The sequence below is a fragment of the Homo sapiens genome, chromosome 3, assembly GCF_000001405.40.
Source record: "Homo sapiens chromosome 3, GRCh38.p14 Primary Assembly".
Taxonomy (NCBI): domain Eukaryota; kingdom Metazoa; phylum Chordata; class Mammalia; order Primates; family Hominidae; genus Homo; species Homo sapiens.
The window spans coordinates 138,520,532-138,539,549 of NC_000003.12; the positions used below are offsets into that span (position 1 = coordinate 138,520,532).

Sequence of the window (19,018 nt, forward strand, 5' to 3'; positions counted from 1 at the left end):
CTCAAAACCACTCAACTACATGGAAACTGAACAACCTGCTCCTGAATGACTACTGGGTACATAACAAAATGAAGGCAGAAATAAAGATGTTCTTTGAAACCAATGAGAACAAAGACACAATATACCAGAATCTCTGGGACACATTTAAAGCAGTGTGTAGAGGGAAATTTATAGCACTAAATGCCCACAAGAGAAAGCAGGAAAGATCTAAAATTGACACCTTAACATCACAATTAAAAGAACTAGAGCTCCCTCTCCCTCTCCCTTTTCACGGTCTCCCCCTCTCCCTCGTCTCCGTCTCCCACTTGGCCACAGTCTCCCTCTGTTGCCAAGGCTGGACTGTACTGCCGCGATCTCGGCTCACTGCAACCTCCCTGCCTGATTCTCCTGCCTCAGCCTGCTGAGTGCCTGGGATTGCAGGTGTGCGCTGCCACGCCTGACTGGTTTTTGTATTTTTTGGTGGAGACGGGGTTTCGCCATGTTGGCCGGGCTGCTCTCCAACTCCTGACCTCGAGTGATCTGCCTGCCTCGGCCTCCCGAGGTGCCGGGATTGCAGACAGAGTCTTGCTCACTCAGTGCTCAATGCTGCCCAAGCTGGAGTGCAGTGGCATGATCTCGGCTCGCTACAACCTCCACCTCCCAGCCGCCTGCCTTGGCCTCCCAAAGTGCTGAGATTGCAGCCTCTGCCCGGCCACCACCCCATCTAGGAAGTGAGGAGCGTCTCTGCCAGGCCGCCCATCGTCTGGGATGTGAGGAGCCCCTCTGCCCAGCCGCCCAGTCTGGGAAGTGAGGAGTGCCTCTTCCCGGCCGCCACCCCGTCTGGGAAGTGAGGAGCGTCTCTGCCTGGCCGCCCATCATCTGGGATGTGAGGAGCCCCTCTGCCCAGCCGCCCAGTCTGGGAAGTGAGGAGTGCCTCTTCCAGGCCGTCATCCTGTCTAGGAAGTGAGGAGCGTCTCTGCCTGGCTGCCCATTGTCTGGGATGTGGGGAGCACCTATGCCCGGCCGCCCCATCTGGGATGTGAGGAGCGCCTCTGCCCGGCCGCCCTGTCTGGGAGGTGAGGAGCATCTCTACCTGGCCGCCACCCCATCTGGGAGGTGAGGAGTGCCTCTGCCCGGCCGCGACCCCGTCTGGGAACTGAGGAGCGCCTCTGCCCGGCCGCCCCGTCTCGGGGGGTGGGGAGACCCTCTGCCCCGCCGCCATGTCTGGGAAGTGAGGAGCCCTTCTGCCCGGCCGCCACCCTGTCTGGGAGGTGTACCCAACAGCTCATTGAGAACAAGCCATGATGACGATGGCGGTTTTGTCAAATAGAAAAGGGGGAAATGTGGGGAAAAGAAAGAAAGATCAGATTGTTACTGTGTCTGTGTAGAAAGAAGTAGACATAGGAGACTCCATTTTGTTCTGTACTAAGAAAAATTCTTCTGCCTTGGGATGCTGTTAATCTATAACCTTACCCCCAACCCCTTGCTCTCTGAAACGTGCTGTGTCAACTCAGGGTTAAATGGATTAAGGGCGGTGCAAGATGTGCTTTGTTAAACAGATGCTTAAAGGCAGCATGCTCCTTAAGAGTCATCACCACTTCCTAATTTCAAGTACCCATGGACGCAAACACTGCGGAAGGCCGCAGGGTCCTCTGCCTAGGAAAACCAGAGACCTTTGTTCACATGTTTATCTGCTGACCTTCTCTCCACTATTGTCCTATGACCCTGCCAAATCCCCCTCTCCGAGAAAAACCCAAGAATGATCAATAAATACTAAAAAAATTAAAAAAAAAAAAAAAGAACTAGAGAAGCAAGAGCAAACACATTCAAAAGCTAGCAAAAGGCAAGAAATAACTAAGATCAGAGCAGAACTGAAGGAAATAGAGACACAAAAAACCCTTCAAAAAAATCAATGAATCCAGGAGCTGGTTTTTTGAAAAGATCAACAAAATTGATAGACCACTAGCAAGACTAATAAAGAAGAAAAGAGAGAAGAATCAAATAGACGCAACAAAAAATGATAAAGGGGATATCACCACAGATCCCACAGAAATACAAACTACCATCGGAGAATACTATAAACACCTCTACGCAAATAAACTAGAAAATCTAGAAGAAATGGATAAATTCCTCAACACATACACCCTCCCAAGACTAAACCAGGAAGAAGTTGAATCTCTGAATAGACCAATAATAGGCTCTGAAATTGAGGCAATAATTAATAGCTTACCAACCAAAAAAAGTCCAGGACCAGATGGATTCACAGCCAAATTCTACCAGAGGTACAAGGAGGAGCTGGTACCATTCCTTCTGAAACTATTCCAATCAATAGAAAAAGAGGGAATCCTTCCTAACTCATTTTATGAGGCCAGCACCATCCTGATACCAAAGCCTGACAGAGACACAACAAAAAAAGAGAATTTTAGACCAATATCCCTGATGAACATCGATGCAAAAATCCTCAATAAAATACTGGCAAATGGAATCCAGCAGCACATCAAAAAGCTTATCCACCATAGTCAAGTGGGCTTTATCCCTGGGATGCAAGGCTGGTTCAACATACACAAATCAATAAATGTAATCCGGCATATAAACAGAACCAAAGACAAAAACCATATAATTATCTCAATAGATGCAGAAAAGGCCTTTGACAAAATTCAACAACCCTTCATGCTAAAATCGCTCAATAAATTAGGTATTGATGGGACATATCTCAAAATAATAAGAGCTATTTATGACAAACCCACAGCCAATATCATACTGAATGGGCAAAAACTGGAAGCATTCCCTTTGAAACCTGGCACAAGACAGGGATGCCCTCTCTCACCACTCCTATTCAACATAGTATTGGAAGTTCTGGCCAGGGCAATCAGGCAGGAGAAGGAAATAAAGGGTATTCAATTAGGAAAAGAGGAAGTCAAATTGTCCCTGTTTGCAGATGACATGATTGTATATCTAGAAAACCCCATTGTCTCAGCCCAAAATCTCCTTAAGCTGATAGGCAACTTCAGCAAAGTCTCAGGATACAAAATCAATGTGCAAAAATCACAAGCATTCTTATACACCAATAACAGACAAACAGAGAGCCAAATCATGAGTGAACTCCCATTCACAATTGCTTCAAAGAGATAAAAAACCCAGGAATCCCACTTACAAGGAACGTGAAGGACCTCTTCAAGGAGAACTACCAACCACTGCTCAATGAAATAAAAGAGGATACAAACAAATGGAAGAACGTTCCATGCTCATGGGTAGGAAGAATCAATATCGTGAAAATGGCCATACTACCCAAGGTAATTTATAGATTCAATGCCATCCCCATCAAGCTACCACTGACTTTCTTCACAGAATTGGAAAAATCTACTTTAAAGTTCATATGGAACCAAAAAAGAGCCCGCATTGCCAAGTCAATCCTAAGCCAAAAGAACAAAGCTGAAGGCATCATGCTACCTGACTTCAAACTATACTACAAGGCTACAGTAACCAAAACAGCATGGTACTGGTACCAAAACAGATACATAGAACAATGGAACAGAACAGAGCCCTCAGAAATAATGCCACATATCAACAACCATCTGATCTTTGACAAACCTGACAAAAACAAGAAATGGGGAAAGGATTCCCTATTTAATAAATGGTGCTGGGAAAACTGGCTAGCCATATGTAGAAAGCTGAAACTGGATTCCTTCCTTACACCTTATACAAAAATTAATTCAAGATGGATTAAAGACTTACATGTTAGACCTAAAACCATAAAAACCCTAGAAGAAAACCTAGGCAATACCATTCAGGACATAGGCATGGGCAAGGACTTCATGTCTAAAACACCAAAAGCAATGGCAACAAAAGCTAAAATTGACAAATGGGATCTAATTAAACTAAAGAGCTTCTGCACAGCAAAAGAAACTACCATCAGAGTGAACAGAATGAACAGAGTGAATCAGAGTGAACAGAGTGAACAGGCGACCTACAGAATGGGAGAAAATTTTTGCAATCTACTCATCTGACAAAGGGCTAATATCCAGAATCTACAATGAACTCAAACAAATTTACAAGAAAAAAACCAAACAACCCCATCAACAAGTGGGCAAAGGATATGAACAGACACTTCTCAAAAGAAGACATTTATGCAGCCAAAAGACACGTGAAAAAATGCTCATCATCACTGGCCATCAGAGAAATGCAAATCAAAACCACAATGAGATACCATCTCACACCAGTTAGAATGGCGATCATTAAAAAGTCAGGAAACAACAGGTGCTGGAGAGGATGTGGAGAAATAGGAACACTTTTACACTGTTGGTGGAACTGTAAACTAGTTCAACCATTGTGGAAGACAGTGTGGTGATTCCTCAAGGTTCTAGAACTAGAAATACCATTTGACCCAGCCATCCCATTACTGGGTATATACCCAAAGGATAATAAATCATGCTGCTATAAAGGCACATGCACACGTATGTTTATTGTGGCACTATTCACAATAGCAAAGACTTAGAACCAACCCAAATGTCCAACAATGATAGACTGGATTAAGAAAATGTGGCACATATACACCATGGAATACTATGCAGCCATAAAAAATGATGAGTTCATGTCCTTTGTAGGGACATGGATGAAGCTGGAAACCATCATTCTCAGCAAACTATCGCAAGGACAAAAAACCAAACACCGCATGTTCTCACTCATAGGTGGGAGTTGAACAATGAGAACACATGGACACAGGAAGGGGAACACCATACACTGGGGCCTGTTATGGGGTGGGGGGAGTGGGGAGGGATAGCATTAGGAGATATACCTAATGTTAAATGACGAGTTACTGGGTGTAGCACACCAACATGGCACATGTATACATATGTAACTAACCTGCACGTTGTGCAGATGTACCCTTAAAGTATAATAAAATAAAAATAAAAATAAAAATAAATAAATAAAATAAAAAATCCTAATAAAAGAGGCAATTTTGGTAAAAATATAATTACTTGACGTTTTTCTTAAGGGCTTTTTCCAGCTTCTTCACCTGCTGTTTATAAAGTCTTAATTCATGCTGCGTAGGCCTGTGGAAAATAAATAATGATAAATTAATTCAATTTACTGAATAAAAGCATAAAGGTACTTAAATATTAACGACATACAAAACTTTGTTACTTGTCACAAATATACTTATTAAGCTTCTGAAAATATTTCATGACTGCTAATTTGGAGTTTACTGGCCATTTAGATTTCTTCTTCTCTGTAATCCCTTATTCAAAGCCTTTTAGTCGTTTTTTGCTGCTAATCTGTTACTTGTTTTTATAGTGAAATATTTCAAGTATACAGACAAAAACAGAGAACATTATAACAAATCCTGGTGTATCCACCACCTAGCTTTATCAAATTTGAATATTAACAGATTTGATTCAAATCTTAACTCAAACTTTATACATATACTTAAAATTCCCTCATTAATGTCATTCTTCTCCTTCCCATACCATAGAGAACCACTATCCTCAATTCATTGTTCATTATTCCCATGTATGTTTTTAAATTTTTACTACATATTTATATAATCATAAATTTACATATTATTGTGTTCAAGGTTTTCACATTTTATATAAATGGCTTATGCTAGGTATCAGGTCCTTCTCTCCATTAAGGTATAAGTTTTTTCTTGTTGTTTTTTGTTTTTTTTGAGAAAGGGTCTCACACTGTCACCTAGGCTGGAGTGCAGTGGCACAAGTTCAGCTTACTGCAACCTCCACCTCCCAGGTTCAAGCTATTCTCTCACCTTGGCCTCTTGAATAGCTGGGACTACCGATGCGTACCACCACACCGGGCTGATTTTTGTATTTTTTTTGGTAAAGACAGGGTTTCACCAAGTTGGCCAGGCTGGTTCTCAAACTCTTGACCTCAGGAGGCCTGCTTCGGCCTCCTAAAGTGCTGGGATTACAGGTGTGAGCCACCACGCCCAGCCATTAAATATAAGCTTATTGAGAACAGGAAATTTGTTTTGGTCCCTTGTTCACCCCAGAGTTTGGGACAGTGTCTAACTTACTATAGGTATTCAAATATTTGTTGAATGAAAAAAGGCTCAACAATGTTCATTCTTTATTACTGTCAACATAGAGAGTGTCATCCTTTTGTAGCTATGCTGGATATATCTTTCTGTTGTGTGCCATTATAAATTTTACTTTTCTTCTCATCCCACAGCACAGGAATAAGAATAACAAGGCATTCCAGTATAATTTGAGAATGAGAACTCCGCTGGCAAAAGACTGAATCTAATATAGTAAATATTAATGTATTATACATTTCAAAATCAATAAGAGTAAATTTCAAATGTTTTCAACCACAAAAGGTATTAGATGATGGATATGTTAATTAGCTTGATTTAATTATTCTGCATTATAATCATGAATCGTAACATCACTTTGTGCCTCATAAATATATACAGCTGTAATTTGTCAATTAGCAATTAAAATAAAAATTTAAGATAATAATCATGCTGAGTGAAAGACGATAGACAAAAAAAGAGTAAATATTGTATAGCTCCACTTATAAGAAGTCTAGGAAATATAAACTAACGTATAATGATTGAAAGCAAATCAGTGGTTGTCTCAGGGAAAGGCAAAGAGGGGCAGGAGGGATTACAAAAGGGGCAAGAGATAACTTTTAGAGTTTTTTGTTTTGTTTTGTTTTAAGAGACAGAGTCTCTGTTGCCCAGGTTGGAGTGTGGTGGTGTGATCACAGCTCACTGCAGCCTTGACCTCCTGGGCTCAAGTGATCTCACCTCAGCCTCCTTAGTAGCTGGGACTGCAGGAGTACGCTACCATGCCTGGCTAATTTTTTTTTTTTTTTAATATGGAACGCTTCATGAATTTGCGTGTCATCCTTGCGCAGGCCTGGCTAATTTTTAAAATTATTTGTAGGCCGGGCACGGTGGCTCACGCTTGTAATTAACACTTTGGGAGGCCGAGGCGGGCGGATCACGAGGTCAGGAGATCGAGACCATCCTGGCTAACATGGTGAAACCCCATCTCTACTAAAAATACAAAAAATTAGCCGGGCGTGGTGATGGGCGCCTGTAGTCCCAGCTACTCGGGAGGCTGAGGCAGAAGAAATCACTTGAGCCCGGGAGGCAGAGGCTGCAGTGACCCAACATCGTGCCACAGCACTCCAGCCTGGGCGACAGAGCAAGACTCCGTCTCAAAAAAAAAAAAAAAAAAATCTCAATGGGCTAAAATTATTTGTAGAGATGAGGTCTCACATGTTGCTCAGGCTGGTCTCGAACTCCTGGCCTCAAACAATCCTCCTACCTGGGCTTCCCAAAGTGCTGGTATTATAGGTATGAGCCACTGCACCTAGCCTCCAAGGCGATTATCTTGACTGTGATTGTTAGGGTGATTATCTGGATTATAACTGTTTCATAGGTGTATACACATATCAAAATTCAATAAATTGTGTACCTTACATATATGCAGTGTACTGTACATCAATTGTAACTCAATAAAGCTATTTTTTAAAAGCAAAAAAAAAAAAAAGACTGAATCTATTTGAAGTTTTTTTTTTTTTTTTTGACACAGGGTCTCGCTCTGTCACACAGGCTGGAGTACAGTGACACAATCATGGCTCACTGCAGCCCTGACTTCCTGGGGTCAAGTGATCCTTCCACCTCAGTCTTCGGAGTAGCTGGGACTACAGCCACAGACCACCACACCCAGCTAATTTTTATATTTTTTGTAGAGAAGGGGTTTTGCCATGTTGCCCATGCTGGTCTCGAATTCCTGCCTCAAGCAATCCACCTGCCTCAGCCTCCTGAAGTGCTGAGATTACAGGTGAAAGCCACTATGCCCAGCTTATTTGAAGTTCTTAGCTAGTTTTGTCTTCTTCACTGTGGACTCCTATTTTCTCATTTCCCTTGCCTACCCATGTGCTCTTGTTCCTTTCATAAGTTATCACGGGAAAGAACTGACTAAAGTGAGTATAAGAATATTATGTACTCATGATTAGCTTTAGAGCAAAGGAGCTAGAATGGTGCATTTAATATTCCAAATTCCAGTATGTTTACTTTTCAAAGGATGAAGAAAAATTGGCCGGATGCAGTGGCTCATGCCTGTAATTCCAGTACTTTGGGAATTCTGGCACTGGGCCTAGGAGTTCAAGACCAGCCTAGGCAACACAAGGAGACCCCATCTCTACCAAACAAAAAATTAAAAAATTAGAGGCTGAGGATGGTGGCTCATACCTGTAATCCCAGCACTTTGGGGAGGCCAAGGAGAAAGGATCACTTGAGGTCAGAAGTCTGAGACCAGCCTGACAAACATGGCAAAACCTCATCCTACTAAAAATACACAAAATAGCCAGCCGTCGTGGTGTGCACCTGTAATCCCAGCTACTCGGGAGGCTGAGGCAGAAGAATCGCTTGAACCTGGGAGACAGAGGTTGCAGTGAGCTGAGATCGCGCCACTGCACTCCAGCCTGGGTGACAGAGTAAGACTCTGTCTCAGTTAAAAATAAATAATTTTTAAAATTAGCTGGGTGTGGTGGCTTGCACCTATAGCCCCAGCTACTTAAGAGGCTGAAGTGGAAAGATTGCTTGAGCCCTGGAGGTCAAGGCTGCGGTGAGACGTGATCACACCACTGCACTTGGCCTGAGTGACAGAGTGAGACCCTGTCTCAGGAAAAAAAAAAAAAAAATTAAGTTTCTCTCACCTGGTTTCCAAATCTTTTTGGAGGTTCAGCTTTTCACTTGAAAGTGCATCAATCTTAGATTTTGATTCCTTGAGTTGATTCTGTAATGACTGCAACACATTTCATAGAAAAATAATTAACTTTCTTAGATTACTTAGTTTATTAAAAAGTATTTATTAGTTATGCAGTCCCCATACCATTAAAAGGCCTTTATAAGTTGGTGAGGCATCCAGATTTCTGTAGTCGTTTTCTTCTTCTGACTGACTTTCATCTTCTTTATATTGCCTATGAAAATATGTATGCAGTATACTTATGAAAAATCTATCTTCAAAGAAAAAAACTAATTAAACCAATGTAATGAGGGTTTAATAATCTAAACATGAATTAAAATTAATCCACATTTCCTACTTGTTCTCATAGAGAATGGTATTAGAACACTACTACTATCTAATATTATAGTACATACAGTATCCATTTACTCTCTTTTTACTTAGAATATATGATCCATGAGGACCAGAACTTTGTCTTATTCACCACTGTATCTCACTGCCTAGAAAAAGTATGGAATATAAGAGGAGGTGAAAAAGCACTGCTGAATAAACAAACGAAACATAGGTGGAACATCCATGTTCTTTTAAAAAATGCATTCTCCACATACTATTTTTTCCTTCTAGTACATTTAGGTCACCAAAAAACCTATATGAAGAAAATGTAGATCATAAGTGGAAAAAGCAACAGATTTAATAGTCTTGGTTCAAGCCTTGATAACACCACTAACTAGTTGTATTATTTGAATAAGTCAATCTCTCAGAATTTATTTTCTCATCTGTAAAATAGTATCTGTCACATCTACTTTACAGGACTGGTGTAAAAAGCAAATGAAAGATACTGAAGGACTCTGTGAAATGCAAAGTGCTAGCAAATAAGTATGATTATTTTTAGCAATCTTGATTAACTATCACTGTGATGTCCTATATGGTAACCAATAGCTACATGAGCTAGTGGTTACCGCTTAACACTTGAAATACGGGTAATGCCACCAAGGAACTAAACTTTTAATTTCATTAAATCTTAAATTTAAAAATTGAAGTAGTATAAAATACTTTTCTGTTAAACACAACTTTATTGTTTAGGACTACATTTCACTTTAACTATTGTATCACATAAAGTATTACTATTGTAGCCTAGTGTGCACTGGGTACATGCATGATTTCTAGTATTACACATAAACATATCACCAGTCTAGTAAGTATCAATGGATTGATTCAGTTCAAATGATTTATTCCCAATGTGTTTATTTTACACATGTGCATATAGTCTGATGATAAAAACAACAACAACAACAAAAAACTTCGGACAACACTGGCCTTAAAAAAATGGACAAGCAGAGAAGCTTTTGCCACTGCGAGAGGCCCATGTCCCACCTGTCTTCTTCCTTTGGTCTTGCTGCTTCAGTTCTACAGGGTCACAGCTCTTCTCCTCTGCTTCCTGTTTATCCTACTTAGGCCTCCAAATCTTGGCCTGGCTTCCCCCGTCTTCTCTTTCATCTTCTTTACTAATGTAATACTTGTCAATGAATTGTTACATCCTCCTGTTACAGTACTCCTACTTCTTTAGATGATACCTATATCCTATTTGTAGATCTCAAAATCTATCCTGAAATTGCCAGAATCTCACTTTCAAGTTAGTACTTACTCTTAGAAAGGAGACTGAGTTTATAATATAAACTCCACTCAGTCAATGAATCCCGAAAAACTCCCTCCTTAGGAGAGAGACTCTTTTTATTGCTGCAAATTTTCTCATTTGTAGAATATTATTTATTAATGTATCTCCTATTTTCTTCCTATCCTCCACTTCCCTCAATAAGACATCCAATCCAAATATCTGACCCAAGGATAATTTGTATAGGCCAAAATACTTTACTTCAGCTAGACAATTGATGAAAAGCTTTTTAAGTTAAAAAGTGATTCTTTTCCAAGTCACTCATTCCTCAGCCCCAGATTTTCATTACAAATTCATGACAACTAAATTCAATACCACCACTCCAATGGCCTCAATCCTTTTTATCATCTTTAGTCAGAGAACCCCGTTTGCAGAACTCTACAAGTACCTCTCACATCATATTCTACACAAAAGATTTCCTGATGGATATGTTATGTTAAATCTTTTCTACTCTTACTAAAAACCCCAAATCCCCTCTTCATCATCTAGATCAGGGGTCAGCAAACTGCTGTCTGCAGGCTATATTCAGCAGGCTGTTGGTTTTGTAACTATTTTTATTGGAACACACCTGTGCCAATTCATTTACATATTATCTGTGGCTGATTTTGTGCTACAACAGCCGAGTTGAGTAGTTGTCCTATCTTTGTAGAATCTCCACCATCTAAACGACAGTTTCATTTGGAAGTCAGAAGGTCCCTGAAGCTACTTGATAAAATGCTGCTTTCTGAAAAGAACATAAAGCAAGAAGTTGCTTTTTAATTAGTTGCTCTCTTCTTCCCTTCCTTCCTTCTTCTTTTCCTTTTTTTTTTTTTTTTTGGAGTCCCCACAGTACTACAGATAATCAGCAACCAGCAACCCACAGAGCTCTGCCATTATTCTCTCCAAGATTTTGGAAAGTCACTATTCTTGGGGCAAGAATACTAGAGCATACGCTTCATAAAAGTGAAGAATTTATCTGCTTTATTATGGGATCCTAATTACTTAGAACATGGTACAAAATAGGTGCTCAAATAAATATTTGTTAAAAGAACTGTTCCATCTATAAATAATAAAAAGATTAGCTACTGTTTTAGTGACCTTACATTAAAGCATTTTAGATTATATCTTAGATATCCTTCAGCTATTTTAGTTTAGCCAAAGACCATTTATCTCTATGCTTATTTAATCAGGTGATAAGTGTGTTTTAATCTATAAGCTTGATTTTTCACTGACATTTTATCTTTATCTCACATAAATCTGCATACTAATTAGGTTACACTTTGATAGGCAGCCAATCTAATTCTATGCACTTTGCGGATATACTTGGTAACTACCCAGGGGCTAGATCATATCAGTAGAAAAAATTATAATACTTCAAGAAAATAAAGGGAAATACCATTTCTGCTATGACCAATACTTTGGTGATAATTAAGTATACATAATTTAACATAAATACAACAATACATCTTGACTTAAGTTGTAAAATACAGTCTTCAAGTTCTTTATAAAAAAGAACTTCACAGTGACATATTAGGTGGATTTCCATAGTATATTAAAGTTTCAAAAGCTACAGAAACTTCTGGTGTGAATACTGGATTAAAACCTTTAAAAACTGTAATACAGGATTACTCGTACCTTTGTGTATGAATTTTTCTAATTTTAGATTCATAGTAATCAATTAGACAAAGCAACCTAGAAAACAGAATATTGAATTATTTTCAAAATGCGGTATGGTATTACAGCATCTACTAGTTTCACCACATAATTTCAAATTACAGTGTAAAAGTAAGTACAGATTATCTGGCAGGCTTTAAAAAATTTAAGTGATTCTTACCAAAAAGCAAATACTATACTAAGTCATATGTTATATTAATTTCAAAGTATAGATTTAAAAATAACTATAAACATTATATCTCAACATATTAAATGCATATCCTCCTTGTCCCAACAATTCTACCTCTAGCAATATCTCCCACAGAAATAAGTCAAAGGATGCAACTCAATATGAACAAAGTTGTTCACTGCACCATTATTTAAGAGTGAAAAGCCAGAAATAATTTAACTCTCCATCAGGAGAAAGGTTAAATAAATAATGGCACATCCATACTACAGAAAATAATGGGCTGGGTGCAGTGGCTCAAGCCTGTAATCCCAGCACTTTGGGAGGCCAAGGCAGGCGGATCACAAGGTCAGCAGTTCGAGACTATCCTGGCCAACATGGTGAAACCCCATCTCTACTAAAAATACAAAAAATTAGCTGGGCGTCGTGGCGAGTGCCTGTAGTCCCAGCTACTCGGGAGGCTGAGGCAGGAGAATCACTTGAACCCGGGAGGCGGAGCTTGCAGTGAGTCAAGAGCGCACCACTGCACTACAGCCTGGTGACAGAGCAAGACTCCATCTCAAAAAGAAAAAAAAAAAAGAAAGAAAAAGAAAATAATGGAGAAGTAGAAAAAATAATGTAACTTTGTATGTCCTTAACAAGGAATGATGATGGAAAAAATTAATGTTGCATAATCAAATGTATATTTTTTACTTTTGTCTAAAAAGAAAAGAAAAAAGTTAGATGTGAATATGTATATATACTGAAAAAGAACTCTGTGGGTTCTTAACCAGAGAATAATATTGTAAGCTAGCGGGTGTATGAAGGGGCAATGTTGCCATATTGACTAGTTGGAGAGGGGGCAGAATGCTAAAAATTCATCGGTGAACAACACAACAATACACAAAGAAGAACTGTCTCACTCAAAATGCCAACAGCACTCATTTTGAGAAACAGTAGGAAGGACACACACCAAATTGTTAGGAGAGGAGGTTATTTCTGGGATGTGGGGATTAGGAAAGCAAGCAGATTTGTTACATTTTACCATATACACTTTCATATTGTTTGAATTTTTATTTTTTGTTTTTTTTTGTTTGTTTGTTTTTTGAGATGGAGTCATGCTGTCGCCCAGGCTGGAGTGCAGTGGCGTCATCCTGGCTCACTGTAAGCTCCACCTTCCAGGTTCACCCCATTCTCCTGCCTCAGCCTCCCGAGTAGCTGGGACTACAGGCGCCTGCCACCACGCCCAGCTAATTTTTTGTATTTTTAGTAGAGACGGGGTTTCACCGTGTTAGCCAGGATGGTCTCGATCTCCTGACCTCGTGATCCGCCCGCCTCGGCCTCCCAAAGTGCTGGGATTACAGGCGTAAGCCACTGCGCCCGGCCTGAATTTTTATAAACATTTATTGCTTTTGTGATTTAAAAAATGAGAGAAAAACAAAATAATACTATGCTTTCATGTGTTATTCTTTTTAAACGAACAATATACTGTTTCCCTCCTATCTTGGGAAAATATTACCAACCCATCCCCCTCTTCAGAACTAATTCAGCCAATTGTGCTCTTAATGTCACAACTTTCTAGATTACTCTTTTTCTCTTCAACCCTTCCCCAATTACTCTTTTTCTCTTCAAGCCTTCCGCATCTTAACATATACCAGCTTTCACATTATCCTGAAAATATGCTTTAATCTTTATATCCTGCACAAATCCTCTTGACCTACTTCCCCCTTATGCTATGATTCTATTTCTAATATTTTCCTTCATAAAAAAACTTCATTCATTCTGAGTGATTGTAACCAATTATCTTCAATAAAGTTTTAGGGAGGACTTATTACATGTTAAGTACTGGGAATTCTGAGCAAATAAAATAGTGGGAAAGTAAACAAGTTAACCAATGAGGAAGCATGCAACACTGCCGATCACCCTCTCCTTGAAACACTTTTGTTCCTTGGTTATCATGATACCCAAACACAATTCCTCTTCTGCCTCTTCTTTCTCTATATGGACTTTGGAAGTTCTCTGGAGTTTGGCCCTTTTAACAACAGGCCTGATATGTCTACTTGGATGACTGAAGGTGCCTAAGTATATATCCATAAATGAATTCATCGGTTTCTTCCCCGTTCCTTCAAATGTAGTTTAAAAACTGGCCATCTTTGACTCCTCCACTCCTTTCAACATCTATAGCCAATTCGTCTGGACAACTCCTATCCATCTTTGCAGTGTCTCTCCCTTTTTTTTGGTCCTAGTTAAGACCTTCATTAGCCCTCTACTACTACAACCGATTCCTAACTTGTCTTTCTGTCTCTGGGTTTAATCTCCTTGCTCAGGAATCTTTGGGTATGTTCCCTGCCACACAGAAAGTAGAACTCAAACTCTTCGGCCAATTTAAGTCTCTCAAAGTTACAGCACACTTTCCATATTGTCATATTGTCTCTTAAGACTCTTCCCAGAATCTCATGTATCCTATGTTCCAGACCTCTTGGACTCTTGACGTCCCAAACACATTCACTTTTCCTGTTATCATATTTCTCTAATTGAAACATCCTTTCTCTCACCTCTTCCTATTAATATTCTATAGTTCCTAGTAGTCCAGCTAAAAAGATAACTCATTCATGAAGCCTATGTAGTCATTCTTACCTTTCACTAATTTCTCCCTATGTCACACCCACTTAGTATCCTATCTGCCCCACCTTATAGTACATACCACTATCTGCTTTATATTTTACTTACATGCATATATGTCTATCTACCCAACTAGACTACCAGGTCACTGAATGCAGGAATCATGGCTTTCCTCATCTGTGTGTGCCCTATTACTTAGCCCAGTACCCGTGTAACTTTTAATAATATCTGTAGTGGCTACAACTCATGTATTTCCAATAGGTTTAATTCACAATTTTTCATTTCAGTGTCTCAAACTGAAAGTTTGCATTGACAAAAATCAAACAGTGGAAAATCTCTGGCCCACTGGACAAATTCATACCTGAATTAGCCTGACTTCATCTGGTACATTGCAAGTTCTCTCAGTGCTTCTCTCACCCTCTTACCCAGTCATCTTAACTGTTTTTTGTTTTTTCATTCTTCCCTTCCAATTTCTCTCTTCTTCTTCCCACTGTAGTTCTCTCTCCCTCACCTCTCTCCTTTTTGTTCTTCCTTACCTCTCCTATTTTTCTTACCTAGCCTCCCTTTTCTATTTATTCACACCTCTCACTAACATTTTTATGTTTTTTTATGTGTTTGTCGTTACTTTTCCTTCAAGAGGATGAAAATTATATATGTGTATATATGTGCATTATCTCTCAAATAATTATCAAAAAATCTATAGTTTTAACTTGTTTTTACTTTATATCTGACCTCATTTATTTTTATTGTAAAATAGAAACATCTAATTATTCAAGATTTCCAGTCCTACTAGGTAAACATATAATACCGCTTAAAATGCAATCAGTTTAAACTGTTAAGAGAAAAAAAGAAGGTGCTAGTACATAAGAGAGAATATGTATATAATATCCATACTACTTATATTGCTAAAAATAACTCTAAACATTTAAAATCAATTACCTATAGGGGAGGTAAGGATAGGATAGAATAAAGGGGACAGGAATGAAAACACAACTTCTCTGAATATAAATAATGAATAGTTTTGATTTTGCAATTACATAAATGTTTACACATTCAAAAGTAAAAATTTAAAAAGCAATCCCTGAAAATTGAAAAGAAATTGAAACAAACCTAACTGCATTATAATTTGGTGACGCAAACACACAGAGAAACAAGTATTTCAAGATATTTTAGAAATATACATCTTGACTGCATACATAGTGGAATATATTAATATCAAAGAAAGCTGCCCAGAAATTTAAATCTCATTCAGTAGGCTTATTGTTAGTAATTCTAGTTTTATTATTTTGAAACTATTTTTATGTATTATAGGATATAGCAAATAATTATAATATTGTTCTTAAGAATGATTTTCAGTAGGAAAGACAACAGTTACAAATGTAAAATCAGAATTTAAATAAAAATACTATCTTAACTTCAGCTAGGTTAAAAAAAAAAATCAATGATGATTTTTTTTTCCCTCCAAAATATATAGTCCCTGGTTCTTTCCACTAAAAACTCCTAAAATCAATAACATAATAAAACTAAGCAACCCCAAAACCCATACAGCGATCTCTCAATAGTATTCTTCACTAAAAGGATCAGTTATTTTGAGAAATGTCTGATTAATTATGAATTTATTTAAAAGTTTAGTGTTATTTTTAGTAAATGTTCAATTCCATTCTTCAAAGGACCTCTAGAACAAAAAAAAAAAAAAAAAAGAACAGGATGAGCAGGGAAAAACAATGCAGAAGAGGAGGAGAGAGAGGCTTTTCTAGTTTATAAGAGTTATAACCACCCCCAAGATAATATCAGGTAAAACAAACAAACAAACACAACAATGAATCTAGCTACATATCAATTTATGTAGCAAAATTACTGTCTATCCAAGACGGTATGAGGAACTCTTTTGCACAGATAGGCAAACACTCTGTTTTGAGTGACAATGCGATCTTCTTCCTCCTTTTTTAATCTACAGACTTCCATTTGCAAAGAAGCAATAGTTTCTTCTTGCTCCGTTCGTTTTTTCTTATAATGCTGGCACTTCACCTATAAGATATTTTTTAAAAACATGATTATGATATGTACATCTAGGACATGCTATCCTAACAGTATTGTACACAAAGGCATCTTCATAGTTTCTACTGAGCTGTTTCATTCAAGAACTTCAGTATTGAGGCTGTTTTTAAATGAGTATAAGCTCCAGGAACATTAATATATCATAAACCTGAAAAAATATAAGTCAAATAGCTATAAAATGGGGAAACTACAGTTCATAATTGCGTGCATTCAAGACATTTCTTACCAAGTAAAGGAACTCAAGAATTTCCATAAAACTGGTATAATTTTATGTTTAAGTTTACATTAAAACAATAATCAGGAAAGAATCAATATTAATTGGGGATTGCAAATGGTGTAGTCAACTTAGGCATTCATGCAATGTGGGTGACTGCAAACTCACAGTAAGTCCATAACCAGGAAATTATCATCAAGAAATAATCAGGGAGAAAGACATCACCAAAATGGCAAAGTTGAAGCAATCTGGCTTCACTTCCCCCAACAGAAAACCAAAAACCAATATCCAATGCCAAGATTATTACCAGCAATATCCCAGAACTCAAATCTGAGGATGGGACAATCCCCGGGACCACAAAGAAGTGAAAAAATTTCAAGCAGATGGTAAGAGAATCGGACTTCTGTAACTGTGATGCCTCTCCCCTAATCTGCAAGGAATTGCCTGTGGAAAATTTTCCCCAGACTCAGTTTCTACACTGGAAAAAGTGAGATCAAGACCAACTTCCCCACTATCTTGGGTTCCTTGCAGGAGAACTGTTCCTGCCTCAACCCACAGAAAGCATCACAAGTGTCTATAGCAAGAAAAACTGAGAGCAACCAAAGACAAAGATGGAAGGTGGGAATAGCAGCAACCCCAGCCTGCAAAATCTGCTTGGTATCTCAGCCAAAGAAGATGCTAAATCAGAGTGGCTGTTCAGCAGCACCACACTGTAGGAGGTACACTCTACAGGTTCGCTGGGTATGAAACCCTAGCCAGCTTTTCCACACAGCTGGGGTATCCCATTTGGGATCTCCCCAACCTAGTACCATCAGCACTCTGAATGCTTGCCAGAGCTGTAGCAAACCTGGACATGAGCCACCATCTAGTACCAAGAAGGAAGCAGTGACCTAGCATAAAGGAAATTCAACAGGTGAATTGTAAAGAACCTCTATGTAAACATATCCAAGAAAAACCCAAACAAGCCAGACAGTGAAAACTGAAATAACTAATCCTTCAATGAGAAGACATAGATATATGTCCACAAGAAACAACAGCTAACAAAGAACCATGACCCCCACAGATGGAAAAAGGAGCCAGTGACTGACCCTAACGAGACAGTGTGGTGAGATTCTTCAGATCAAGAATCCTTATTCTTTTTCTTTTTTTTTAAGTCATCTGGTTCTGGGCCTTTATTTGTTCAGAGGTTTTGATTATTGACATAATCCATTGTTACACATCTACTAAAGTTTTTTACTTCTTCTTGAGCCAGTTTTGGCAATTTCTGTGTTGCTAGAAATATGTCCATTTCATCTAGGTTAGCTAATCTGTTGTCATATAATTGTTCAAAGTATAGTCTTATAATCATTGCTTTAATGGAGGGGTGGAGGTTTAGGGTTTACTTCCTTACAACTTTCAGTGATGTTAAATCTCTTTTATCATTGTTTTCGTTTGTTTGTTTGAGACAGAGTCTCACTGTCGCCCAGGCTGGAGTACAGTGGCATGATCTCAGCTTACTGCAACTTCCACGTCCTGGGTTCAAGTGATTCTCCTGCCTCACCCGAGTTGCTAGGATTACCATCACACCTGGATAGTTGCGTACCATCACACCTGGATAGTTTTTGTATTTTTAGTAGAGACAAGGTTTCACCATGTTGGGCAGGCTGGTCTGACCTCAAGTGATCCTCCTGCCTTGGCCTCCGAAAGTGCTGGGATTACAGGTGTGAGCCACCATGCCCAGCCCTTTTTATCATTGTTAAAGAATTTTCATGTTATATCTCTATATTCCTTAATCATTGCTTCTTCCTAATCCCTGTCTGCCCAGGATTCAAAAACTCAGTGAACTCCAATATAACACAGGGAATCAATTCAGAAATCTATCAGTGAAATTTTAAAAAGGTATTGAAATAATAACTTTTAAAAAAACAAACAGAAATCCTGGGACTGAGAAATACATTCCCTGAACTGAAAAATGCATT

General features: G+C 38.7%; 1 protein-coding gene across 25 annotated transcripts in view; it reads right to left on the reverse strand.

Annotated features, from left to right (window-relative positions):
* The window catches only part of CEP70 (centrosomal protein 70), a 99,917-nt gene that overhangs the window by 26,188 nt on the left and 54,711 nt on the right, over positions 1-19,018 (reverse strand). For 21 of the 25 annotated variants that reach the window (NM_001288967.2, NM_001288965.2, NM_001288964.2 and 18 more), the window contains 5 exons: positions 16,647-16,816; positions 11,983-12,039; positions 8,844-8,931; positions 8,668-8,756; positions 4,959-5,033 (listed from right to left, as the gene is read on the reverse strand). In NM_001288967.2, the coding sequence (NP_001275896.1) occupies positions 4,959-5,033; positions 8,668-8,756; positions 8,844-8,931; positions 11,983-12,039; positions 16,647-16,816 (479 nt within the window). Of the gene's footprint in view, positions 1-4,958; positions 5,034-8,667; positions 8,757-8,843; positions 8,932-10,070; positions 10,907-10,936; positions 11,041-11,982; positions 12,040-16,387; positions 16,817-19,018 lie in introns of those variants that run through there. The other 4 variants (XM_047449025.1, XM_047449024.1, XM_017007281.3 and 1 more) reach the window with 4 other exon arrangements.